General features: G+C 44.2%; 1 protein-coding gene, 4 non-coding genes and 1 pseudogene across 13 annotated transcripts in view, besides 9 other annotated features; 4 read left to right on the top strand and 2 right to left on the bottom strand.

Annotated features, from left to right (window-relative positions):
* Positions 1–278: 278 nt before the first annotated feature.
* Positions 279–997, bottom strand: H3P39 (H3 histone pseudogene 39; annotated as a pseudogene).
* Positions 1383–1510, top strand: LOC124900370 (small nucleolar RNA SNORA11). The gene has a single exon (XR_007064821.1). It is a non-coding gene; the product is annotated as a small nucleolar RNA SNORA11 (small nucleolar RNA).
* Positions 15061–15110: a silencer, noted in NCBI's record as "silent region_6405". NCBI's record gives its function as "represses an Ori minimal core promoter by ATAC-STARR-seq in GM12878 lymphoblastoid cells {active_cell/tissue: GM12878}" and the evidence as "EXISTENCE:reporter gene assay evidence [ECO:0000049][PMID:35858748]".
* Positions 15061–15730: a biological region, named in NCBI's record as "H3K27ac hESC enhancer GRCh37_chr15:45493041-45493550".
* Positions 15064–15573: an enhancer, noted in NCBI's record as "H3K27ac hESC enhancer chr15:45493041-45493550 (GRCh37/hg19 assembly coordinates)". NCBI's record gives its function as "activates a minimal SCP1, AML or CMV promoter by ChIP-STARR-seq in naive H9 embryonic stem cells {active_cell/tissue: H9 hESC(naive)}" and the evidence as "EXISTENCE:reporter gene assay evidence [ECO:0000049][PMID:30033119]".
* Positions 15131–15190: a silencer, noted in NCBI's record as "silent region_6404". NCBI's record gives its function as "represses an Ori minimal core promoter by ATAC-STARR-seq in GM12878 lymphoblastoid cells {active_cell/tissue: GM12878}" and the evidence as "EXISTENCE:reporter gene assay evidence [ECO:0000049][PMID:35858748]".
* Positions 15194–15265, bottom strand: TRH-GTG1-9 (tRNA-His (anticodon GTG) 1-9). Its single transcript has one exon. It is a non-coding gene; the product is annotated as a tRNA-His (tRNA).
* The window catches only part of SHF (Src homology 2 domain containing F), a 33903-nt gene continuing 22637 nt past the window's right edge, over positions 15300–26565 (top strand). For 7 of the 9 annotated variants that reach the window (NM_001394046.1, NM_001394045.1, XM_047433286.1 and 4 more), the window contains exons 1-2: positions 15300–15689; positions 17296–17644. In NM_001394046.1, coding sequence (NP_001380975.1) covers positions 17342–17644 — 303 coding nt within the window. In that variant the 5' untranslated portion in view covers positions 15300–15689; positions 17296–17341. The remainder of the gene's footprint in view (positions 15690–17295; positions 17645–26565) is intronic. The other 2 variants (NM_001394048.1, NM_001394047.1) reach the window with 1 other exon arrangement.
* Positions 15441–15730: an enhancer, noted in NCBI's record as "active region_9353". NCBI's record gives its function as "activates an Ori minimal core promoter by ATAC-STARR-seq in GM12878 lymphoblastoid cells {active_cell/tissue: GM12878}" and the evidence as "EXISTENCE:reporter gene assay evidence [ECO:0000049][PMID:35858748]".
* Positions 15831–16110: a silencer, noted in NCBI's record as "silent region_6403". NCBI's record gives its function as "represses an Ori minimal core promoter by ATAC-STARR-seq in GM12878 lymphoblastoid cells {active_cell/tissue: GM12878}" and the evidence as "EXISTENCE:reporter gene assay evidence [ECO:0000049][PMID:35858748]".
* Positions 15932–16003, top strand: TRH-GTG1-8 (tRNA-His (anticodon GTG) 1-8). Its single transcript has one exon. It is a non-coding gene; the product is annotated as a tRNA-His (tRNA).
* Positions 16611–16770: an enhancer, noted in NCBI's record as "active region_9352". NCBI's record gives its function as "activates an Ori minimal core promoter by ATAC-STARR-seq in GM12878 lymphoblastoid cells {active_cell/tissue: GM12878}" and the evidence as "EXISTENCE:reporter gene assay evidence [ECO:0000049][PMID:35858748]".
* Positions 17331–17680: an enhancer, noted in NCBI's record as "active region_9351". NCBI's record gives its function as "activates an Ori minimal core promoter by ATAC-STARR-seq in GM12878 lymphoblastoid cells {active_cell/tissue: GM12878}" and the evidence as "EXISTENCE:reporter gene assay evidence [ECO:0000049][PMID:35858748]".
* On the top strand, positions 17739–17810 carry TRH-GTG1-7 (tRNA-His (anticodon GTG) 1-7). Its single transcript has one exon. It is a non-coding gene; the product is annotated as a tRNA-His (tRNA).
* Positions 17761–17880: a silencer, noted in NCBI's record as "silent region_6402". NCBI's record gives its function as "represses an Ori minimal core promoter by ATAC-STARR-seq in GM12878 lymphoblastoid cells {active_cell/tissue: GM12878}" and the evidence as "EXISTENCE:reporter gene assay evidence [ECO:0000049][PMID:35858748]".

The following is a 26565-nucleotide window of genomic DNA, read 5'->3' as shown; positions in this document are numbered from 1 at the left end:
AAGACAGACAACATTAAACACATGTGCTTGCATGTAGGACAACTCAGAAAAATATAGTGAATGGATAGAATCTACTATATGATAAAAATGCTACCAACACTATTTAGTTGCTGTCAATAAGAAATTTACTTGTTTAAAAAAAAATCCAAATGCTGGCATTGTCCAGAAAAATTTAACAGGTTTATTTATAATTATTATAAAGTTGAACCGCTGAAACTTGTTCACGGAAACATTTTAACTTGCATTAATGCTTTACCTCCCTGCATTTATATTAAAAATTCACACACAAACGAAAATGGAAAAACTGCCAATACCTGATTTCTGTCCCCTATTTTTGCACTCGTAATCATATACTTAGGTACCTTTTGACCCCATGGGGGAAAAAAAATCTAATGTTCAGAACTACCAATAACAGGAATAAGATAATTTTTTTTTTTGAGAATGAAATGTTTCCCATCATAGTGGATTCTTAAGCACGTTCTCCACGTGTGCGGAGTGCTAGCTGGATATCTTTTGGCATAACTGTTACATGCTTGGCATGGATAGCACACAGGTTGGTGTTTTCAAAAAGGCCAACAAGATAGGCCTTACTTGACTCCTGCAAAGCACCGATAGCTCTGGAAGCACAAATCTGTTTTAAAGTCCTGAGCAATTTCTCTCACCAGACGCCGGAAGGGGAGTTTGCGAATTAGTTCAGTGGACTTCTGATAACGCCTAATTTCACGGAGTGCCACAGTACCAGGCCTATTACGATGAGGTTTCTTCACCCCTCCAGTAGAGGGCGCAGTCTTGCGAGCGGCTTTTGTAGCCAGTTGCTTCCTGGTGCTTTACCACCGTCCAGTTTGCGGGCACTTGGCTTTGTACGAGCCAAGGTATAGAGACTTCCTTACTTACTCCCTTCTCCTTCGACTGGAGCTCGGCGAGGAAGAGGCGGGAGAGGCGGCGCTGGCGTTGGAGAGCGACGGCGGCGCGGCAGCGACGGCGGCTGCAAACACAACTCGATAATTTCTGTTTTCCTTTTTGAGACGGTGTCTCGCCAGCACAACTCGATAATTTCTTTTTTCTTTTCTGAGACGGTGTCTCGCCCTGTCACCAGGCTGGAGTGCAGTGGCGCGATCGCGGCTCACTGCAACCTCTGCCTCCACCTCCCAGGTTCAAGCGATTCTCCTGCCTCAGCCTCCCAAGTAGCTGGGACTACAGGCGCTCGCCACTACACCCAGGTAATTTTTTTTTGTAGTAGAGACGGGGTTTTACCATGTGGGCCAGGATGGTCTCGATCTCCTGACCTCATGATCCGCCCGCCTCGGCCTCCTGAAGTGCTGGGATTACAGGCGTGAGCCACCGCGCCTGGCCTCGATAATTTCTTAATAGTAAAGAGGTCCGGGATGTGCTCAGAGCAGGGGGCCTGAGGAATGGCTCCTCTGTTTACAACACACCCAACAGGAATCTGGGATCATTGTGACGAGAGGTACCAAAACTTGTAGGCTTCCTACGAACAAACTGTACATGTGAAGGGAAAGAATAATAATAAAATAGTAATAATAACGTCAATTCATTAGATAATGCGACAGTTTTAAATTGTATACATCTAACATCAGAGCTCCAAAATACATGGAAGCAAAAACTGACAAAGTTGAGAGATAGACAAAACCACCACAATTAGATTTGTCAACATCTCAATCATTGATAGATCAACTAGAAAGAAAATCAGTCAGGATTTAGAAAACTTGAATAACACTATAAAACATCTTGACCTAATTGACATTTATAGACATTTCATCCAACAACAGCAGAATACATATGTTTTTCAAGTCCCCTCAGAACATTTCCCAAGATAACCTGTATTCTGAGTCATAAAACAAGTCTGGATAAAAGATTGAGATTATACAATGTTCTCTAATAGCAACAGAATTAATTTAGAAATCAAGAACGAAAGATATCTGGAAATTATCTAAAACGCCATTTATAGTAGCATAAAAATATTGAACACTTAGGGATAAATTTGGAAAAAGATGTCAAATTAAAGAAGATTCAAGTAAATAGAAAGATGTGCTATTTGCATGGATTGCCAGACTCAATATTGTTGCATGTCAATTCCTCCACTCATTGATTTAGTCATGCAATGCCATTCCAATCAAAATCTCAGCAAGTTTTCTTGTAAAAATAGACAAGCTGATTCTAAAATGTGTGTGGAGATTTTTTAAAAGGCCAAATAATTTTTAAAATAAAAAATAAAGTTGGAGAAATAATACTACCTAATTTGATTACCAATATAAATCTACAGAAACTAAGACAATGTTGTTTTGGCTTAAAAATAAACATTTAGATCAATGGAACAAAAAGAGAGTCCAGAAATAGACTCACACATACATAGTCAATTGATTTTTTTTATTTTTTATTTTTATTTTTTTAAGATGGGGTCTCACTCTGTCACCCAGGGCAGAGTACAGTGGGGTGATCTCGGCTCACTGCAAACTCCACCTCCCCGGCTCAAGCGAACCTCCCACCTCAGCCTCCTGAGTAGCTGGGACGCAGGTACCCACCACCATGCCCCACTAATTTTTTGTACTTTTGGTACAGACAGGGTTTCACCATGTTGCCCAGGCTGGTCTCAAACTCCTGAGATCAAAGGATCCTTTCGCCTCGGCCTCTTTTCACCTCAGCCTCTTTTCGCCTCAGCCTCCCAAAGTGCTGAGATTACAGGTGTGAGCCACCGCACCCAGCCATCAATTGATATTTGACAAAGGTCCCAAGACAATAAAATGGGGAATGAATAATCTTTTCAACAAAGAGTGCTTGAACAATTGAATAGCAGTGTATTTTTTAAAAACTAAAAGAAAAAAACTTACCTCTTAACTTACAGAATATACAAAAATTAACTCAAAATGCATCATAGGAGGGTCGGGCATGGTGGCTTATGCCTGTAATCCCAGCACTTTGGGAAGCTGAGGTGGGTGGATCACCTGAGGTTGAGAGTTCAAGATCAGCCTGACTAACATGGAGAAACCCCTTCTCTACTAAAAATACAAAATTAGCTAGGCGTGGTGGCACATGCCTGTAATCCCAGCTACTTGGGAGGCTGAAGCAGGAGAATCGCTTGAACCTGGGAGGTGGAAGTTGCAGTGAGCCGAGATCACGCCATTGCACTCCAGCATGAGCAACAAGAGCGAAACGCCGTCTCAAAAAAAAAAAAAGTCATAGGCTTAAATGAAAGTTATCAAACTCAGACATTTGTTGCCAAAAAGCCTCAGCTCTCTCCATGGGGCTGCTTGAGTGTCCTCACATCATGGCATCTGGCTTTAATGACCCAACAGAGACAGCAAGAAGAAAGGTGCAATGCTTTGTATGACCTCACTTGGAAAGTGACACACTGTCACATCTGCCATATTCTATTTGTTAGAAAGGTCACTAAATCCAAATTTCTCTCTAATGGGGAGAAATTAAGCTCTACATCTTGAAGAAGATACTTGGAAGAGTATCAAGGAATTTGTGGATATATTTTTAAGCCACCATCAGGCCACAAATCACTTATTTGCAATTCCCTACACAAAATATATTCACCCCTTTCCTAAGGGCCCCAAAAGTCTCTTCTTATTTCAGTATCAGTTCAAAATCCAGAGTCACAGTATATAAATCAGGTCCAGGTGCAGACAATGCTTTTCAGGTGTATTTCCTTAAAGACAGCTTCTTGCAATCTGAACACCTGTGAACTGGAGATAAATTATCTTCCCCAACATACACACCCACACACCCACACACACCACACAGTGGTGGGATGGGCATACGATAAACACTGTAAACAGTCCTGTGCAAAAAGGGGAAAAATAGGACTGGTCCATAGTGGTTCTGAGACCCAGCTAGGCAAAGTTTGGAGATTCTTTTATTAGGATTCATTCCTACTGAATGAATGGGATTCATCCCATGACTTTTGGCCCCTACCTTGGAGCTCTTGGTTCTGCTAAGTCATCCTTCCTTTTCCATGAGAGATAACTCATGTTTTTCAGCTGTAGAGTTTTCTCAGTCTGATTACAGCAGGTGAAATTTTGGGAATTCAAAAGTCTCTTCATTCATGTACTATCTTTGTCCCTTTCATTCCAAGCTGTTTCTGCCAATATGATTCTTAAATGTTGTGGGTCTTCTGTGAATCTTACTGTGGTTCATTCCGTAAGTCTGAGATCGCAGCCATAAACCTTTTTGCAATAAGCCCTTCTCAATATTGGGCATCTGCTGAGGTGCAATGCTGTTTAGCTTTTGAAAAGCCCCACTGTTTAAAGGAGAGTATCTATAAAGCATACCCTTAAAATCTTTAGAGGGCCATTTGTCTTACTGAATGGTACTCTGAGGCTGTACCTTGGATCATTATGACAAAGAATTTTACTTTGTCTTTAGACCATGTTTTCCCAGTAGTGCCCTAGATTTGATCTTTGCTCAGAATTCACTTCTTGGCCAGGCATGATGGCTCATGCCTATAACCCCAGAGCTTCAGGAAGCCAAGGCAGGAGGATTGCTTCAGCCCAGGAGTTTGAGGCTACAGTGAGCTATGATCATTCCACTGCACTCCAGCCTGGACCTCAGAGCGACACCCTGTCTCTAAAAAAACAAAAACAAAAACAAAACCCCCAAAACCTAATCTATCTTTTACATTTAGCCAGTTAGAGAGGCTGAAAATTTTCAAAACCCTCAAATTCTGGTTCCTTCGTGTCCTTCATGTTTAATAGTTCTTGGCTTATCTATCTCCTCTTGCATTTTCCTATGAACAATAAGAAGAAACCAGGAGATGCTTTCAACAGGTTTCCTGGAAAGCTTTTTGCTAGATCATGTGGTTCATCTGGTATATTTTTACTTTCTACATTACCCCAGGTAACAGTGTTGCTAAACTTTTTGCTGCTATATAATAATGACCCCTTTCCTCCAATTGACAACAAGATTTTCCTCACTTTCCTCTTTATGCTCTCACTTACAACCTCCTCAAGGGCCCTGAGGCTTCTTCAAGGTATTCAGACTTTTCACTAACACTTTCCTCCAAGGCTGCCCAATTCCAAAGCCACTTTCACATTTTAGGGTTTTGTTATGGCAGTGCCCCCACTTCTAGGTAACAAAATCTGTATTAGTTACTTATCACAGTGTAACAAATTACCTGAAAACTTAGCAGCTTTAAAAGCAGACATTGATTATCTCACAATTTTTTTTTTTTTTTTAGACAGAGTTTTGCTCTGTCACCCAGGCTGGAGTGCAGTGGTGCGATCTCAGCTCACTGCAACCTCCAATTCCCGGGTTCAAGCAATTCTCCTGCCTCAGCCTCCTGAGTAGCTGGGACTACAGGCATGGACCACAACACCCAGCTAAATTTTTTTGTATTTTTGTAGAGACAGGGTTTCACCATGTTGGCCAGGCTGGTCTTGAACTCCTGACCTGAAGTGATCCACTCACCTCGCCTCAGCCTCCCAAAGTGCTGGGATTACAGTCGTAAGCCACCGTGCCCAGCTAATTATCTCACAATTCCTTTTTTTTTTTTTTTCCAAAACGGAGTCTTGCTCTGTTACCCAAGCTGGAGTGCAGTGGTGTGATCTCGGCTCACCACAACCTCCACTTCTTGGTTCAAGCGATTCTCCTGCCTCAGCCTCCTAAGTAGCTGGGATTACAGGCATACGCCATGACACCTGGCTAATTTTTTTTGTATTTTTAGTAGAGACGGGGTTTCGCCATGTTGGTCAAGCTGGTCTCGAACTCCTGATCTCAAGTGATCCGCCCACCTGGGCCTCCCAAAGTGCTGGGATTACAGGCATGAGCCACCACACCTGGCCATGATTATCTCACAATTTAACTCAGGAATTTGGAAGTGACTTAGCTGAGTGATTCTTGTTCAGGGTCTCCCATGAGGTCGTTGTCAAGATGTTGGCTAAGGCCACAGTCACCTGAAGGTTTGATTTGAGGCCAGACAATCTGCTTCAAAGATGGCTTGCTCACATAACTATTGGCCAAATATCTCATTTCCTTGATGACCATTGGCAGGAGGGCTCAGTTTCTCACCACATGGATCTCAACCCCGTGAGGTCACTTGAGTCTCCTCGTGACCTTGCAGCTGGCTTCCTTCAGAGCTAGTGATCCAAGAGAGAACAAAGAAGAAGCTACAATGCCATTTATAATGTCCTATCAGACCTGTCAGATGTGACACACCATAACTTCCAAATTATTCTATTCATTCAAAGAATAATTCATTCAGCCCACCTTCACTTCAGGAAGAGAAATTAAGCTCTACTTCTTTTTTATTTTACTTTGAGACTGGAGTCTCGCTCTTATCGCCCAGGCTGGAAAGCAATGGCGTGATCTCAGCTCACTGCAACCTCTGCCTCCTGGGTTCAAGCAATTCTCCTGCCTCAGCCTCTGGAGTAGCTAGGATTACAGGTGCTCACCACCAAGCCCAGCTAATTTTTGTATTTTTAGTGGAGACAGAGTTTCACCATGGTGGCCAGGCTTGTCTTGAACTCCTGACCTCTGGTGACCCGACTGCCTCGGCCTCCCAAAGTGCTGGGATTACAGGTGTGAGCCACCGTGCACGGCCTCTACTTCTTTTTAAAAAAATTTTTTTAGAGATGGGGTCTAGCTATGTTGTCCAGGCTGGAGTGCAGTGGCTATTCATAGCCACAATCATAGTGCACTGTAGCTTCAAACTCCTGGGCTCAGGTGATCCTCCCACTTCAGCCTTCCAAGTGGCTGGACTATAGGCTTGTGCCATCAAGCCTGGCTAAGCTCTACTTCTTGAAGGGAGGAGTATCAGAGAATTTGTGAACATATGAACTTGTGAATCACCTGAGTTTTCTTGAAGCATTTGGCCAAAGAGAATTGAAGAAAAAGAAGTTATTTGCAGCTTTGATTATATGGTTAAAAATATTTTATCTAGACTCAGGACGAGGCCAGTGAACCAGAGTAGTCATGACACAGAAATAGTTTGACTTTTTGAAATTTTTTTATTTTTGATATGGAGTCTCGCTCTGTAGCCCAGGCTGGAGTGCAATGGTGCAATCTCGGCTCACTGCAACCTCCACCCCCTGGGTTCAAGTGATTCTCCTGCCTCAGCTTCCCGAGTAGCTGGGATTACAGGTGCGCACCACCACACCTGGCTAATTTTTGGGGTTTGTTTGTTTGTTTTTTGGTTTTTTTTTTGAGACAGAGTCTCACTCTGTCACCCAGGCTGGAGTGCAGTGGCACGATCTCGGCTCACTGCAAGCTCCGCCTCCCGGGTTCACACCATTCTACTGCCTCAGCCTCCCGAGTAGCTGGGACTACAGGCGCCCGCCACCACGCCTGGCTAATTTTTTTGTATTTTTAGTAGAGATGGGGTTTCACCACATTAGCCAGGATGGTCTCGATCTCCTGACCTTATGATCCACCCGCCTCAGCTGGGATTACAGGCATGAAACACCGTGGCCAGTATGACTGAAATTTAGAAGAAAGTTTGGAAATAAAAGAAATTCAAGTCAGATTGTTGCAATTTTTGTATGTATCTTTCCCTTTTAACTTAAAATTACATTTGAAATTTGCACATTGTACCATCATGTCAAATGCTCAATGCTAACAATATCAGTATAACATGGATACGTCTCTTTTCATGCTGTTTTGGCTACCCTGACTCTAGAAAACATTATACACTTGATATTAGATCTTCCTCTTTTGATCTGAGAGACCAAAATGGATGCACCATTATCAAGTAAGACAGACTCAAAGCTTAAGGAAAGTAACTTACCTATGGGTCCAAGGTGCCGGCTGGCATAGCAAATTGCTAAATTCCTATGGCTAAGGTCTCTAATAATAGGAGCTATGAGCTCTGATTTACAACCCAGACCCCAAGTCTGATTAGACAGAGGACCAGCCTTACAAATATTCTTTTCTCAGAAGCTATTGCAGACCTTAAGCCAGTTTCAGACAGCTTATAGAGGCTGTGCACAAATTGCCTTGGTGTCCTATAGTTCATCTTTTGATGTGGAGCCAATTCCACCTCATTTCAATGCCAAAATCCTACCCCAAAGTGAACGTGGCATGTATGTTACATACATGTTTACCCATTGCCCATACATAGAGTTCCCTCATAAATATGTATAGCTTTTCCCCAAATCTGCTGAATGTGTATGACACAAGCTCTGTGAAGCATAAAACCCAACGTGTCCTTCCCCTCCTTGAAGAAAGAGCAGGCCAGGTGAGGTGGCTCACACCTGTAATCCCAGCCCACTGGGAGGCCGAGGTGGGTGGATCACTTGAGCACAGGAGTTCAAGACCAGACTGGGCAACATGGTGAAACCCTGTCTCTACAAAAAATACAAAAATTAGTTGAGTGTGGTGGTGTGTGCATGTGGTCCCAGCTACTTGGGAGGCTGTGATGGGAGGATGGCTTGAGACCAGGAATTCAAGGCTGCAGTGAGCTATGATCACACCACTGCACTCCAGCCTGGGTGACAGAATGAAATACTGTCTCAAAAAAAAAAAAAAAAAAAAAGAAGAAGAAGAAGAAAGAGCACCATTGGTCCACGTTGGAGACTTTCTCTTCCCAGCTGCAAACTGATATCACCAATATAGCTCTCCTTTCTACCATCTAGCCATCTTGGTGATCTTCTGGATGACACACTCAAGCCTCATATCCATTTTTTTTTATCCAACATGTTCATCCCCTCTACCTCCATGCTAAAGAGAAAACATCTATAGGTGTGATTTGAGGGAAGAGTCCCTCGTTCATCCCTAGATGAGTATTAGTCCCCGAGCTCCAACATCAACTACTAGTCCAGGGAGCAGAAATTCTCTTCTGTCTCTCCTGAATGAAGACTTTTATCAGGATATAATTATCCATTTACACCTAACCTTTCTAAAACACAGATATGACTATGTCTCTCTTCTGCTTAAAAATGGGAACTTAAATGCCCCTCTCCCCTCAATGCCTGACACAAAGCCTATGGACAGCCTTCAGGAAATTTGTGAATTCCTGATATTTTATCATAGGTGTATTACTTTGGAGAACAAGGCTGTGGCTGTCAATGGATCCCCAAAGCAATGTTACCACAAAATGTGAAGAAACACCAGCCTCCAGGAAAAAGGCCTGACTCAAGTAAGAGATTCATCAAAATTTGGCTCCAGCCTCTCACCCTCCACTCTCTCCTCCATATCTTTGTTGTTTCTTTGTTTGTTTGTTTTAGGGGGAATTACAGGCATGTGCCATTGCACCCATCTAATTTTTGTATTTTTAGTAGAGATGGGGTTTCACCATGTTGGCCAGGCTAGTCTCGAACTCCTGGCCTCAAGTGATCCGCCCTCCCCGGCCTCCCTCCCCTCCATATCTAATGTTGTAGCTACAACTTGTCTTTTCCTATGCTATCTGTGCATCATACTTCCTTGCTTTTACTTATGCCTTTCTCTTTGCCTAGAATACCCTTTCCTTTTTATCTTTTTTGAGACAGAGTCTCATTCTCTCACCCAGGCTGGAGTGCAGTGGAGCAATCTCGGCTCACTACAACCTCCGCCTCTCAGCCTTAAGTGATTCTCCTGCCTCAGCCTCCCAAGTAGAATATCCTTTCCCTTTCTTTTCCAGGAAAAGTACTATGCATGCCTTGGAACTCAGATCAAATGTTGTATCCTGGTAGAATCAACGATCTAAGCTCCAACACACTTTGTATATATGTCTGGCATAGTTCTAATTAGTTCTTCACTCATCTGATTAACCCCGAACTAAAATGATCTCAGAGTAAGAATGGGTCTTATTTAATTCATATCTCCAAGGCCTAGCACAGATCATACTAGGCACTACTGGTTATTGGGCAGGAGGATAGGTGTCAGCATGGACCATTGCCCAACAGAACAGGAACACATCTCCCTCTGAGCATGCCTCCTCAGACCCCCTACTCACCCAGGACCATTTCTGCTCAGCCTGATGCTTTGGCTCTCTGAACTCTGTAGTGAGCTTTGTATTTGCAGATTTTTCTGACCAGTAACTCAAAACTAATTTTGGAGACCAACATTGCCAATTTAAAACGTTTCCAAGAAAAGATGTTTTTTAAAACCTATCACTGGCTGGGTACAGTGGCTCATGCCTGTAATCTCAACACTTTGGGAGGCCGAGGCAGGTGGATTACCTGAGGTCAGGAGTTCAAGACTAACCTGGCCAACAAGGTGAAACCCCGTCCCTACTAAAAATACAAAAATGAGCTGGGTGTGGCGGCACATGCCTGTAATCCCAGCTACTCAGGAGGCTGAGGCAGGAGAATCGCTTGAACCTGGGAGGCAGAGGTTGCAGTGAGCCAAGAGCAAGACTCCGTCTAAAAAACAAACAAACAAAAACAAAAACAAACAAAAAAACACCTATCACCTACTTTCTCCATAGTTTTATAAAAGTCACTTTAATACCTCAAAAATAAAAAGGTCATTGTCTCAGCCTAGAGGACAGTCCTTTGGATTAAATGCATTTAGCATTTTAAAAGCTTACCACATTGACCTCATTTTTTCATTCAGTGGTGAAAAGTTTGTCCTAGTTTATCAGTTCTAAAAAGTTTGGAAACCACTGATTTAGACCTTTGCTTCTGCAAGGCAGCTCCTGCATTCTTCCTGACTCAGGAATTAGTTTCAGGTCTCATGCCAGGAATAAAGTCCTGCACCATCTTTCCCTACAGTTTCTTTTTGTGGATATGGAGAGAAGTACCTAGAAACAAGAGACCGACTACAGCATATTGAACAGTCTATGCTGGTCACTTGACTTTGGATGAGGGGCAAATCTCAGTTGACAAACTCAGCTCAAAAATAAACTACTCTAGGCAAGAAGTATCTTATACAGCTTTGCAGCCCCCAATGACTTAAGAACTAAGAGATGCTAGTTTATGGGAAGAATGAAGAATGAATGAATGAATGAATGAGTGGATGGATGGATGGATGGATGGATGGATGGATGGATGGATGAATGGATAGATAAGTAGATGGATGAAATCTGAGTCCTCATTACCCAGAGAATCCCTGTGGAACAGGCTCAGTTAAGTCAGAAGTGGTATGTTGCAAATTAAATGAGTCTTTTCCAGCCTCAGCTTTTCACTACTACTTCCTGGGGCACAGCGCCTTCTAGTGGAAATCCAGATGTGCTGCCTCCTCCCTAGACGGCCCTAAACATGGGCCCTTTGATGACTCCCTCCCAGATCACCATCTCCTCACTGTGAAAACCTCAATGACATCCCCATTGATGAGGCTCAGTAGATTCAGGCAGGTCCCTTCTAGTAACCCAAGTACTCACAAGATGAACAATGAAGGATTCCATTAGAGCTTTAGGCTAGAGCAGCACTTCTCAAACTTTCCTGTGCAGATGAATCACTTGGAGAGGACCTTGTGGAAAACCGAAGATTTTCACTGGGTAATTCTGAGTTGTGGATCAAGATTCTGAATTTTGGACAAGCCTTCCAGGACCAGAGCCTGCTGGTCCAGTGGCAGCTGCTCAACACTGCGCCCCTGTGGGGGTTGGCAGCTCCCAGATATACGAGGTATAACCAGGGAGTATAACCAGGAAGCTGTGGGGTTGATGGTTTAAGCAGACAATCTGAAGCTTATAAATTACTGTTGTCCCTTTCAAGGTTTGCCCTTTGAAGTCTACACACTCCTACCAAAAAAAAAAAATTGTTTTTCTTTTGCTGGAATGTTATTTATAAAACATTTCTGGCATTGTCATTGAAATTTTTGTGCCTTAAAAGACTCAGTGGTGACATTTTTCTCTTTGAAGGTAGCTTTAAAAGCAGTCAAAAGTTATTTCAAAATAGAATGTGATTATAAATATTGAGGTGGATGTACTCATATGGCTTATAAATTAGCCCTGAAAATAATCTCCAAATAAGAATTCCAAAAATATTTTGGGCAGCTGTTTGGAGAAAGTGGAATGCCTGATTTGAAACACAATACTCATTTGGATGTTTATGTTCCAGGGTGTTCATTTTTAAGGAGTTGATTTCATTATGTTATATTCCCATCTACTATATTATTTAAGTAAAACTTCAGTAGGGCTTTGTAAGTGCCAGGCACTATTGCTTTACAAATATTCATTCATTTAATCTTCATAACAATCCTTTTACAGATGAGAAGTCATTCTACAATCATTTTACAGGTGAGAAAACTGAGGCATGGAGACATGTTGCTTCCCCAGGGTCACCTAGTTAGTAAATGGATGAGTTGAGATTCAAATCTTAAACAGCCTACTTTCAGGTGTCAGAGGCTTCATTACTAAGCTATGCTAGCTCCCCCAACAGAGACGAGGTCTCATTATACTGTCTAGTCTGGTCTTGAACTCCTGGGCTCAAGCAATCCTCCCACCTTAGTCTCCCAAAGTGCTGGGATTACAGGCGTGAGCCACCATCCCCAACTTATGCTACCCCTTAATTAGAGTTAGGACTAGTCTAGTACTATCAACTACTGTACCTCAGGGTCTATCAGATGGAAGGGAAAAAAATTCAAAGTGACTTAGAGGTTGGAAACCTGCAGAAATTAACAAATCCAACCAAGATGGGAACAACTGGAGCTGGAATGTGTGAACAGGGTGCTCTTAAGTATAAGCACCCTACCTCTTTCCTGGCACTGAGACCTAGAGAAGAGTTCCAACCTCAAGCTGGAAGTGATAGGAGGAAATATTACATTCCCAGAATCAGAAATCATAAAACAATTTTAAAAGCAAGGGACCAACAGGAAGGGGGTGCTGACTGATTGCTCAGAGAGGGTGTCCCAGGGCAGCGGGGTCTTGATGAGGTCATTCCAGGCCAGGGTCTCCAGGAGCAGGGCTTTGCCAGCCCTGACATTCCATTTTGTCAGTGTACCTAGAGATAAGTAGGCACAAGGGAAATGAATTATGCTAACCAGACTCTTATGAGTCTAAACCAAAACACCCACAGTTAGGAGAACAGTGCCAATAAGCTTGTTCAAAGCATGCTTTTTCCTGTAGGGAAGTCTAATGGGCAAATCATTATCAAAGTCTGTTTTGTAAGGAAAATTGACTGAGTGACCTCAGAAGAGGATGTTATGAAATGTTGAGAGCTGGATGCGCCCATCTCATGGACTACCGTGTAGCTGCCAAAAAGGCAGCCCTCCCCTCGTGTCACTCTTCCTGCAACTAGGTCACAATACAACACTTTCAGTTCAGCTTTCTTTAGCATTCCTGACCTCAGACATGGATGGCTAGTGGGTTATCTCAGATGGTGAATGTTTGTGATTTTTGTTTTATTGGTTGACGCTTTTTTTTTTTTTTGAGACAGGGTCTTGTTCTGTTGCCCAGGCTGGAGTTCAGTGGCATGATCACGGCTCACTGCAATCTCCCCCTCCCAGGCTCAAGCAATTCTCCCACTTCAGCCTCCTGAATAGCTGGGACTACAGGTACACACCGCCACACCTGGCTAATTTTTGTATTTTTTATAGAGAGAGCTTCTCACCATGTTGTCTAGGCTGGTCTCAAACCCCGGAGCTCAAGCAATCCTCCCACCTCAGCCTCCCAAAATGCTGGGATTACAGGCATGAACCACCATGCCCAGCCTCTTGGTTGACACTTTTTCCTTGTAGTACTCTTAGAGAGTGGCTACTCCTAACTTTCTCCTCAGGGTGTGGGAGCAGCTCATTGCCTACTGAAGCACCTGCAGCAGGGCAGTGGGGGCTGGTCTTCAGGGGAAAAGCCAGAGCCTTTCCTGGCATCCCACCCTGACACCTTATTCCAGCCCACAGATTGAAATCCGTCACAGCAGTTATTTGGTGAGGGGTTGGAGGAATATAAGTCACCACATTCCTGTTGGCCAGTTCTTTTTTTGTTGTTGGCGATGTTGATTTTCTAGACATATAACGTTTGAATCAGTCATCCAAAGCTTGGCAAGTTCTCAGGCTCACCTTTCCCCATTCTATTTTGCGCAGAACACTCTCGAGGTGTGAGCTGTCCTGTTGTGTGGTTTAAACTCGCCAAATGTAGAGAACTGGGAGACTGGAGACCTGGGGAGATTACAGCCCCCACGCAGTGCCTTGCTTTTTTTTTTTTTTTTTTTTTTTTTTTTTTGAGACAGGGTCTTGCTCTGTCGCCCAGGCTGGAATGCAGTGGTGTGATCTCAGCTCACTGCAACCTCTGCCTCTCGGGTTCAAGCAATCCTTCCACCTTAGCCTCCCAGGTAGCCGGGACTACAGGCACACGCCACCATGCCCTAATTTTTGTATTTTGGGTACAGACAGGGTTTCGCCATGTTGCCCAGGCTGGTCTGGAGCTCCTGAGCTCAAGAGATCCGCCCACCTCGGCCTCCCAGAGTGCTGGGATTACAGGCATGAAGCCAGTGCCTAGCTTTTAAGTGCTGTTCATTCTTTACTGATTGATTGTGGGTAGAGGGGGCGCAACCCCATTGCAATGTCTGTCTCTCCCAGGAATGATCTCGGGCTTGCCTTGCCACCCTCAGGACACCTGAGAGGAGCTGGAGAGGCTCATTCCTCAGTGCCCTCTCATTCCCTCCTTGAGAGTGACATAGCCACCACCAGCTGCCTGAAAGTCAAATCCAAAACTCACTTCCATTTTGCCTAATGCCAAATGACAGACTTGAATTTGTTGAGTTTGGGTTTTTTAGGTCCACATAAAACAAGCAAACAAAATGTGCTTAAACTTGAGGTAGATTAGGGGAAAACCCTCCAGGAGAAAACCCCCTCTCACCTAGGAGACTGTGGAGATGAAGGCCACAAACCTCTCATTAGCACCCCTCATAGTGGCTACTGGAACCAGCACCTCTAGTGCAGTCATATATTTCACTTGTCACGGGATCTGAAGCAAAACGGTTCAGCGTATGGTCTAATCTGCATTCTTCTAACCCTTAATTAATGTTTGCACATTGTTCCTATCACCCCTTTGTCCCAAAGTATTGATGTTTTAGCTAGTGTGAAGGTTTTTAGAGGATCCAATATATGATTCGGTCATTCACAAGGGTAAAATAAAGAGTACCACACAGAAACTACACAAAAATAAAATAATCACATATTGGGGAAGGTGGGGGTGACTGATTCACTAGCAGATGAGAAAGGAAAGCCCCAGAGTGTGCACCGAACTTTTTGTGCACACTTCATTGTCCGTTATAATTTCAGCCCTGGCCAGGTAACAGCTTTTAGAGTTAGCTTCCCAGAAGAATGTGTGGCTTTCTAAGTCTAAAAAGAGGCCCTTGCCGTACCATTGTTTCCACAATGCCGTGACTCGGATTCGAACCGAGGTTGCTGCGGCCACAACGCAGAGTACTAACCACTATACGATCACGGCGAGCTACCGGGACGCCACGACGAGCAGCTGACCCAGTGTTGCCCTTCTCGTCTAGATGGCGGCCATTCCAGCTTTCCTAAGCGTCCATTATCTACCAGGTTCCTCCCGCACCCACGTTCACCCGCAAGAGCAGCCGGGAGCGCTGTGGACTCCCTAGCCCGAAGTCTCCTCTTGGCTGTACGCACGGACCGCAAAAGAAGGGACATGAAAGTGCTTTGCAACCAAAGGATTCCTATGAGGCCGGGCCTGCAATGATGTGAAGCCCCTGAGGACGCCCGAATGGTGGCCCAAAGTCTCTCTGACGCTCACCATGCCCTGACTATCATGCTATCTGAACGACTTTGGCTGGGACTGGAGCTCTTAAATTTTACAAGAAGGAAAATCAGTTCTGACCCACCACCATACAACTTCCTTGAGGCGCGAGGTAAGGGGAACCCCAAGAGCAGCCTCCACGGTGGAGAAATCGGCCACCGTGTCTGGTGCGCAGGCAAGTGTGGACCAAAATCGAGAAAGCAGAGATTAATGCTCTTGCGTGCCCTCAGATGGCTGCGAGGGTGGAGATAGGCTAGAACAAACAATGACAAATCAATGACATTGCAAGGGGGCGGGGCTTTCAACAGAGAAGAGTTCAGGCGACAAGCCGAGGTCCTGTGTCCCTAGTAGCTCGCCGTGATCGTATAGTGGTTAGTACTCTGCGTTGTGGCCGCAGCAACCTCGGTTCGAATCCGAGTCACGGCATTGTGAGGACAATGGCACGGCAAGGGGAGTTTGTTTTATTGTACCAATCCGTTTTTAATCCTGAGTTCACAACATTGTGGAAAATGGACCCCGATTCCCTTGTGACATTTGAGAGCGACGTTTACGCTGGCTCTGGCTAAATTGGACTTTGGAAAGATATAGGCTTCCGGGTCCTCTGAGCCTGGGCGCGTTCTTGAAGACAAAGCACAGACCACTCGCCAGTTTAAAAAGTGTTGTAGTAGACATACGTACAAATTTCCACAGAAGCACTGGGAGCGGATTCCTAATGATAGGAAAAGAAGGCTTAGCAAAGGAAGTGAGGATCAAGGTAGCTCTTAAAGGCACAGTGAGAATTTGTCAGGCAGCCAGGATGATTTCGTGTACAGAGGCTTGAAGGGAGTCTTGAAAAGGAAAAATCTTTTTTTTTTTTTTTTTTTTTTTTTTTTTTTTTTTTTTTTTGAGATGGAGCCTCGCTCTGTCACCCAGGCTGGAGTGCAGTGGCGCGATCTTGGCTCACTGCAACCTCCGCCTCCTGGGTTCAAGCGATTCTCCTGCCTCAGCTTCCCGAGTAGCTGGGACTACAGGCACCCGCCACCAGGCCCATCTAGTTTTTTTGTATTTTTAGTAGAGACGAGGTTTCACCGAAAAGGAAAGATCTTAATTCCTCTTTATAAGTCTTCTGTCTTCTTTGTAAGTCCCCACCCCAACAACGCCCAAAGGCTCTGGCCTGACAGGTAGTAGGCGCTTCTCGAGGACGTGTTGAGTTGAATGAGTGAAATTGAGGCATGGGGAACGACACTGAAGGAGGGCCAAGAGATGAGCTGGAAAAGGCAGACGAAGTTCCTGCCGTCTAGGGGTGAGGGTGAGGAGGGTAGAAGTGAAAATATTCAAATCGTGTTTAGCAAGATCCCTCCCGCGGCTCTGCATAGGGAGGATTGATGGGAGAGGGTGACATTGGAGAGACAGGTGTTCTCTCTGGAATTCACTTGTTAAATGCCAATGGCACCTTCTGAGTTTTAGCAAATAGCCACTGCCTGCTGTGTACTCGGCCCGGTTCTAGGCGCCGTGGGGGCGAGAGCACTGATGGACAATAATTAAAATCGGACTTAGTCCCTGCTGCGGCCCCGTGACACAGCCTAGGTGGGCACCTGGCACGGCGGAAGCATTGCGGAAGGAGGAGTCAGGAGGAGTCAGGGCTGTCAGGGGAGTATGAGAGGCTGGAAGGAAGTGGGTGTTGGGAACATGGGGAGATGCGTTTGCTGAATTTTTTTCTACGTGGAACCTGGTTCTAGGGTGTCCACAATCTCCACAGAGGCGGCATTGGGTCACCGCTGGAGGATGCAGCAGGAGGGAGGACCCGTGAGGAGCGCCCCCTGTAGGACCGGAACCCTGGAGGGTTCGCGGCAAGGGTCTCCGGGGCATAGGAAACGGGCATCCCCCAAGGGTAGTCTGAGTTCCGCCCAGCCCCATTCCTGGATGCTCACGCCGTCTCCCCTAAACTCCCACTGCGCTCACCGGGAGCCCATCTCATCATCACCACAGCCCGTGGCTAATGGGCCAAAACAGAAGAAGAAAAGCAACTGGCGGAGTACAACGCGCCTGCGCATTATCAGACTCAGGGACAGGCTGGAACCTCGCCCCGTAAGTAGGCCATTTAATGACGCGCAAACTGGGAAGGCCTATGACTGTTGAAGAGGATAATCAGAAGCCAACCCCTACGGGTCCCCGGTAGCTCGCCGTGATCGTATAGTGGTTAGTACTCTGCGTTGTGGCCGCAGCAACCTCGGTTCGAATCCGAGTCACGGCATTGTGGGAACAATGGCACGGCAAGGGGCTCGGTATTTTTTTCCCCTTTTTTGTAACATTTTATATAAATCGTAATTCACTTTCTTGAAACGAACCAACGTTTCTCTCCTTTGAAAACTGAGGCACTCCGAGGACCGCCACCTACAGTAACTCTCATGTAATGCTCTGATACAGCTTCAACCCAGCCGTTATAATCCCTTTCTTACCAAATATAGTTGTCTGAATAATTCCACACCAGCAAAACAGCTCCCCTATGACCCTGTGATTTTTTTCTCTTTTCATGTACATTTTTTTATTGAGTCATTTATTTTTATTTTTACTTATTTATTTATTTTTGAGACAGTCTCCCCTGTCGCCCAGGCTGGAGTGCAATGGCGCGATCTTGGTTCACTGCAGCCTCCGCCTCCCGGGTTCAAGCGATTATCCTGCCTCAGCCAACTGAGTAGCTGGTACTACAGGCGTGCACCACCATGCTCGGATAATTTTTTTTTGTTTGTTTTTTTAATTTTAAAAAAAATTGTTTTTGAGACGGAGGCTCTGGGTCATTTATTTTTAAATAGGGAATACATGCACAAAAGTCTAGTAAAAAGTACAGCTCTTTTTCATTTTTCACCCTATCCACCAATTATTTTCAGTTTCCACTATATCTTTCCACAACAGTCCTTGTATGAATATATATTTATATATGCATATACGTATGTGAATCTATTCCTCCTTGCTTTTTGCATAAAACGCAAACATGCCCTCGCTTGCCCGCTCTCTTTTTTTTTTTTTTTTTTCCTGAGGTGATGGAATGTGAACAGAACATGAAGTAATAGGTATGTATTGGTAGGCAATCTCCCTTTACTGGGAAGAGGTCACATACCCTGAAGGATGTGAATCTCTACCTATTTCTGGTCCTGTTCCTCTTTTACCCAGGCCCTGACTCCAGGCTGGGGAGATGGGGAAACAGTTTGTGTTGGTAAGATAGGGGAAAGGGACTGTTTACTATACCCATATAAACCTTTGGGTGGGAGCCTGGGCTCTGTTAGGAAGCAGCCCTATTTTGATTTCAGGTGGGAAGGGCAGGGAAGCATCTTGAATTTGGAGTCAGATAGAAGGACTTGACTTGGCAGGCCATTTGGAGACCCTCCACTCCCGTGTCCCCCTTCTCTTATTATCAGGCTCCAACTTTAAGTCACAAACCACTACAGTTAGGAAACTCAAAATTCAAGCTCATTGAAGGCAGGACGAGATCTTAACATATGTTTGTGTTCCAAGCACACAGTCTCTCCATAAATATTTGAACAGAGGTTTCTTATGGAGTCCATAAATGAGTGACATGGCCAGGTTTGCTTTTTTTTTTTTTTTTTTTTTTAGAGACAAGGTCTTGCTCTGTCACCCAGGCTGGTGTGCAGTGGAGCAATTTTGGCTTACTGCAGCCTGGAACTGGCCTCAAGCAATTCTTCTACCTTGACCTCCCAAAGTGCTAGGACTATAGGTTAGAGCTGCTGCATCTCAAATTGTGTCCTTTCAAAACAGAATCATGTTTTTTAATATCAAATAGGAATAGTCTGTATTTTCACTAAAAAGAAAAGTGTGTGCTCCTATTTTTCTAGTAATTTGTAGCCCTTTTAGGTCTTTCTTTCTTTCTTTTTTTCCCTTTTACTATCCTTAATAGGGACATGACCTGGAGAAATAGTGCACTTTCCTTTTTTTTTTTTTTTGAGACGGAGTCTTGCTCTGTCACCCAGGCTGGAGTGCAGAGTGGTGCAATCTTGGCTCACTGCAAGCTCCGCCTCCCAGGTTCACGCCATTCTCCTGCCTCAGCCTCCCGAGTAGCTGGGGCTACAGGCGCCCGCCACCAAGCCCGGCTAATTTTTTTTGTATTTTTAGTAGAGACAGGGTTTCACCGTGTTAGCCAGGATGGTCTCGATCTCCTGACCTCGTGTTCTGCCCGCCTCGGCCTCCCAAAGTGCCGGGATTACAGGTGTGAGCCACCACGCCCGGCCTTTCCTCTTAACTCTATAGTAAGGAGGGAAGAAAAACAGAAAGTTGGTAAAAGCAACTGACTTGGGGCTTCGATGAAATGCTAGGAAGGACCTAGGATGGTCTTTGGAGATATAGCCTCATCTGAAACCAGTCAGGCTACTTATCTTCCACCAGTTGTACCAGATGTTCTGATGGGAATATAAGCCTAATGCACCAGATCTTCTGATATTTCAGAGGAAGTCAGCCAGGCACAGTGGCTCATGCCTGTAATCCCAGCACTTCGGGAGGCCGAGGCAGGTGGATCACCTGAGGTCAGGAGTTCGAGACCAGCCTGGCCAACATGGGGAAACCCCGTCTCTACTAAAAATACAAAACTTAGCCAGGTGTGGTGGCATGCCCCTGTAGTCCCTGTAGGGAGATTGAGGCAGGAGAATTGCTTGAACCCGGGGGGCGGAGGTTGCAGTGAGCTGAGATCAGGCCACTGCACTCCAGCCTAGGTGACAGAGCCAGACTCCATCTCAAAAAAAAAAAAAAAAAACAGGAAGTCAGCAATCTGGAGTTTTGTGTGAGATGTTATAAATTTTTAAATATCGGCAACTAATTCAATTATTTTTTTAAACACTGAGTTGACCAAAACTATATAGGCAAAACAAAACTTGGCCCAAATGGAGCTCTGTCTTAACATCCAAGATCCCAACAAACAAAGTGCATATGTGAGAACACTAGGATGTGCTTGTCCTCTCAAGGTTATGGACAGAGATGGACCCAAGACAAGGCTGGAGACAAAAGGCAAGGACCAGACTTGGACAGCAAAACTTAGGAAGAATCAGAGTTCAGGACAGAACTGGACACCCAAAGCCAGGCAAACAGGAGTGAAGATGCTGTACTCAGTACCCAGTGAGAAAAGTGAGGGCTAAGGACTTAGCCTTGGAATATGCACAACTTTAGGAGGTTAAGAGGGGAAACAAGAATGTGGCCTGAGGCTGCTCTAGGCACACTGCCTATGGGTTAGCTCTGCTCTTAAAAGGAGCAGTATCTCTGGTGCTGTATTAAATTTATTTAAAAAAATAGACTTTAAATAAAAGAATGTGGCCTGAGAGAAGAGAAAACCAGGAAAGTGTCATTTTAAGAAAGTTTAGAAGAAGTTTTCAAGGACAGGAGTCAACAGACTCAGGTGGTGCAAAGAAGTCAAGGGGAAAAAAAATGAGACAAAATAATTAGGTTTGACATTTAGAAGTCATGGCTGACTTTTAAAACTATCCATGAGAGCAACTGGGCAGTGTGTAGCAAGAGTCAAAAAAGTTTATGCTCTGCCCCAAGATTTCTACTTTTGAGAATCTCACCAAAGGAAATAATGCGAAACTAGGAAAAATTATCTCCATAAAGAGGTGTTTAGAAAAAGGGAGATTGGAAATAGCCTAAGTACTCAACAAATCAGGTAATGTTGAACTAAACTGAGGTATGTTCATTTGGTGATATATTAAATAACCATTTTAAAATTACAGGCCAGGCACAGTGGCTCATGCCTATAATTTCGATACTTTGGGAGGCCGAGGCAGGAGGATCACTTGAACTCAAGAGTTTGAGAGCAGCCTGGGCAACAGAGTGAGACCTCATCTCTGCAAAAAAAATCAAAATATTAGCTGGGCATGGTGGTGCATGCCTGTAAGTCCCAGCTATTGGAGCAGCTGAGGTGGGAGGATCGCTTGAACCCAGGAGGTTGAGGCTACAGTGAGCCATGATCACACCACTGTACTCAGCCTGGAAGACAGAGTGATAGCCTGTCTCAAAAATAAAATGAAATTACAAAGTAAAAAGTCAATTTTAAAATACCATTCCCAACTAAAAGGAGTAAGGTTTCTTTCAAGAAATGACTGATTCTAAGTCTGCAGCAGGGGAGGTACAAAGTGATTCTGGAACATCTTGTGTGAGAAAGCACTGAAGAGCTTAAACATTGATGGGACCAAGTCAAAAGGACACAGGAGGCCAGGCGCAGTGGCTCACGCCTGTAATCCCAGCACTTTGGGAGGCTGAGGTGGGTGAATCACCTGAGGTCAGGAGTTTGAGACCACCCTGGCCAACATGGTGAAACCCTGTCTCTACTAAAAATACAAAAATTAGCTGGGTGTGGTGGCAGGGACCTGTAACCTCAGCTACTAAGGAGGCTGAGGCAGGAGAATCGCTGGAACTCGGGAGGTGTAGGTTGCAGTGAGCCAAGATCGCGCCACTGCACTCCAGCCTGGGCGACAGAGCAAGACTCCATCTCAAAAAAACAAAACAAAACAGAAGAAGGACACAGGAGCCTCTTGAAAAGGCTCCCAATAGTCAAATTTTGGGTAATTTGGGCATCAAAAAGAATAATAATATGATAATAATGGATTATATCATGTTGAATTAAAAAAAAATTCACTCCATGATGGAGGTTGGGGGAGAGGTAAGAAAGCTCTCCTTTACAGAAGAATGCCAGCTAGGAACAGTCAAGCTGGGAACTATGTCAGGCAATGCTGCCTACCTTTTTTTTTTTTTTTTTTTTTGAGACAAACTCTCACTATGCTGCCCAGGCTGGAGTACAGTGGCACGATCTTGGCTCATAGCAACCTCTACCTCCCAGGCTCAAGCAATCCTCCCACCTCAGCCTCCTGAGTGGCTGTGACTACAGGCTCACACCACCACACCTGGCTAATTTTTTTTTTTTTTTTGGTACAGAAGGGGTTTCGCCATGTTACCTAGGCTGGTCTCTAATTCCTGAGCACAAGCTCTTGAACTCCTGACCTCTTGACTTGGAATGACCTTTCACTCATTTGCTTCATCTGTCCAAATCCTACCAGCTCAGGGCTACCTCCTGTCCTGCATGAAGCCTGCATAAGGCCACTCGCCTCGGCCTCCCAAAGTGCTGGGATTATAGGCGTGAGCCACTGCACCTGGCTCCATTTTATTCCTAAATAAGATAGCTACAAAGATTTTAAAAAGCGACATACTTTCCTCCAATTTGCCCACAAGGAATTTCCTTGTGGAACTCAATCATCCCTCTGAGGCTCATGACTGAATATTATATGCATTTGAGACAAATGCATATCTGATTGTTTCCTCTGCCCTATTGTTTCCTCTGCCCTATTGCTTCACTAAACCAGACTAAGGCATAAGTGACTATTCCTCTCCTCTCCTCTCACATGTATATTGTGTATTCAGTGAAAGGCCAATGAGAGACTTAAAAGAATACAACCATTTGTCTCTCATCTACCTATGAACTGGAAGCCCCCTCCCTGGCCTCCAGTTGTCCCACCTTTCCAGACCAGACCAATGTACATTTTACACATATTGATTGGGCCGTGACCACCTTGGGCACCTGTCCTCAGGACCTCCTGAGGCTGTCATGTGTGCATCCTTAGCCTTGGCAAAATAAACTTTCTAAATTACTTGAGACCTGTCTCAGATATTTTGAGTTCATAGAATTACAGAATTAGAGAGTCACTATTTTGCAATCCCCAGTGTAATAGCAAATTTAAGTATAGATCATCAATGTGGGGGATAAAACAATGGGGTAATATGTTGCTTGAAGAAAATAGCTAAAAGTTCTCAGAATATCATTCCACAGCTTTCTTTAAATTGTAAAGTGGAGAGATCCGGTGGACTCCAGCTTAACCAAGTGATCAAGCCTAACATCACCAATAAAGGGACAAATGGGCATTATGGGCCTTCTGGTGTAACGCACTAGAAAGTCCACAACATCCCCTATGTAGTGCTCCTTTCAGAAATGTGTAACCTGAATCTAATCATGAAGAAACTATGGAAAAGTCCAGAATGTGGGACATCCTACATGACAATTGGCCTGGACATTTCAAAAAGATAAATGTGATGAAAAACAAACTAGCAACAAAAGAATAGGGGACTGTTCAAAATTAAAATAGACTAAAGGAACATAACAAACAGATGAAATGGGGAAACTTAATTAAATCTGGAATCAGGGCCAGGCGCGGTGGCTCACACTTGTAATCCCAGCACTTTGGGAGGCCGAGGAAGGTGGATCACGAGGTCAGGAGTTCGAGACCATCCCAGCTAACACGGTGAAACCCCATCTCTACTGAAAATACAAAATTAAAATCAGCCGGGCATGGTGGCGGGTGCCTGTAGTCCCAGCTATTCAGCAGGCTGAGGTGGGAGAACGGCGTGAACCCGGGAGGCAGAGCTTGCAGTGAGCCCAGATTGCACCACTGCACTCCAGCCTGGATGACAGAGCGAGACTCTGTCTCAAAAAAAAAAAAAAAAAAAAAAAAAAATCTGGAATCAGAAAAAAAAAAAACTGTAGGGAGTTTCTTTGAGCCTACTCTGGCTCAGGAGGCTGCCTGAAGGAAAATTTAAAGATTTTTCAAAAACAAAATAAAAAAAGAAAAAAACTATAAAAGACACTTTCAGGAAAAATCAAAAAATTTAATAAGGATTGTATGACAGACAATATTATTAAATAAATATTAAATTTCCTAAATGTGATAATGATCTTGTAGCCTGATAGAATTCCTTATTCTTTGGCAATGCCTGCTAAAGTGTGTAAAACCAAAGTGTCATGATATTTGCAACTTGTACCAAATGGTTAAGAAAATGAAAGAAAAAGGAGAGGAATAAGGCAAATATGGCAAAATTTAAAAAGAGGTGAATCTAGCTGAAGGGTAAATAGGTTTACACCACACTTACTTTTTTTTTTTTTTTTTTAAATAGAGACAGGGTTTCCACCGTGTTGCCCAGCCTGGTTTTGAACATCTGAGTTCAAGTGATCCGCCCACCTCGGCCACCCAAAGTGCTGGAATTACAGGCTTCAACCACTGTGCCCAGCCTCCAGTATACTTTCTTTGGATTTTTCTGTAGGGTTGATAGTTTTCCCCAAAAAAAATTTGGAAGAAAATAAACTTACATGACAAAAATGGGGAAATTATCATACAATGTTAAGTTAAAAAAGATATAAAATTATGTGTATACCACAATTATAGCTATATAAAACTAAGAATAAGAAAGACAAATTGTCTTTATCCATTTCAACGTTTGTTAAACCGATGCCATGTGACAGGCTCTGCACTTGGTGATGGGAGCACCCATGCTTCCTTACAGAATCCTGATACTATGGCGAACTGCTTAACATGCAAGAATTTGAATCTAGGCTGGGTGCAATGGCTCACACCTGTAATCCCAGCACTTTGGGAGGCCCAAGCGGGAGGATCACTTGAAGCCAGGAGTTTGAGACCAGTCAAAGCAACATAGCAAGAACTTCGTCTCTAGAAAATAAAATACAATAAATTAGCCAGGTATGGTAATGTGCACCTGTAGTACCAGTGCTTTGGGAGGCCGAGGTGGGAGGATTGCTTGAGGCCAGGAGTTCAAGACCAGTCTGAGCAACGTACTGAGGCCCCATCTTTACAAAAAATTAAAAATTAGTTGGGTGAGGCGGATCACACGCGGGAGGTTGAGGTAGGAGAATCGTTTGAGCCCAGAAGTTCAAGGCTGCAGTGAGCTATGATTGTGCCACTGCATTCCAGCCTGGGTAAGAGAGTGAGACCCCATCTCTAAAGGAAAGAAAAGGTAAACAGAATTTGGATCTAGAAAATTCCACCCAATTCTCAGAGGACCCTTGCTGTGATGGCCTCACCTCTGTATCCTTGGTTCCTATCAAGCTGCCTGACTCCATGAGGTGCTCAAACTGCCTGCTTTTAGGAGCTCATACTCTGGTAATGGAGGAAAGTACATTAGCAGATCTTTTAAAACAAGAGTAAGTGTATGGTGCACACAAGTTTTTATAATTTTAAAATTATTGTTTAAACCCTGCCTTTATGACATCTTCCCTCCTTCCCATCTTATTTTATTCCTACTCTTCCCATCATGAATACTCCCCTTTTTTATGGTGTGCGGGTTCCCACCTCTATGCCTTTGTCCAGCTAATGCCGACCTCCTGTCTTGGAATGACCTTTCACTCCTTTGCTTCATCTGTCCAAATCCTACCCAGCTCAGGTCTACCTCCTGTCCTGCATGAAGCCTGCAGACTTGATTGATTTCATTCCTCTGAGCTGTCAAGCAGTTTAACTCATGTCACACCTTCCACTGTAAGCATTTTACAGTTTTCAAACCTTTTTCATATTCATCACCTCCCTTAATCCTCACACAATGATTATCACGCCCTTTCCAGAGATCATGAAAGCAAGTATCAGTAGCATTGAGTACCTTCCCCAAATACCTGGCTACAGCCCACAACTATTGGATTTCTTATTAGTTACCTATCCATGCCCTCACACCTGGTGACTGTGGAGACTCTCTGATATACATTAACTGGACCATTCTTCTCTATTTATCATCTCTATGTCCAGCTTCGTTTTGCACCATTAGTCAATTTAACTGCACATTTTAAAAATATGCACGTTATTTTCTCTATTATACTTCATAAAACCAAGTTCAACATCAGATTCTCCAGTATCTCCTACAGTCCAGCTACTCAACATGTGGTCTGGGACCAGCAGTATCTGTATCACCTGGGACCCCACCCCAGCTAGACCTAGAGAGTCAGAATCTGTAACTTACCAAGATCCCCAGGAGATTAGTGTCCACATTAAAGTTTGAGAAGCACTGTCCTAAATACAAGCAGCACTGGCTTGATCAGAAGCACTGTCCTAAATACAAGCAGCACTGTCTGACCAGTGGCACAATCATAGCTCGCTGCAGCCTTGAACTTCTGGGCTCAAGCAATTCTCCCACCTCAACCTCCCAGGTACCTGGGACTACAAGCATGAGCCACCTCGCCCAACTAG

The sequence above is a fragment of the Homo sapiens genome, chromosome 15 (assembly GCF_000001405.40).
Source record: "Homo sapiens chromosome 15, GRCh38.p14 Primary Assembly".
In the NCBI taxonomy this organism is placed as follows: Eukaryota; Metazoa; Chordata; class Mammalia; order Primates; family Hominidae; genus Homo; species Homo sapiens.
Note: the sequence above shows the minus strand (reverse complement) of the source record. Positions and strands in the feature narration are given on the sequence as shown.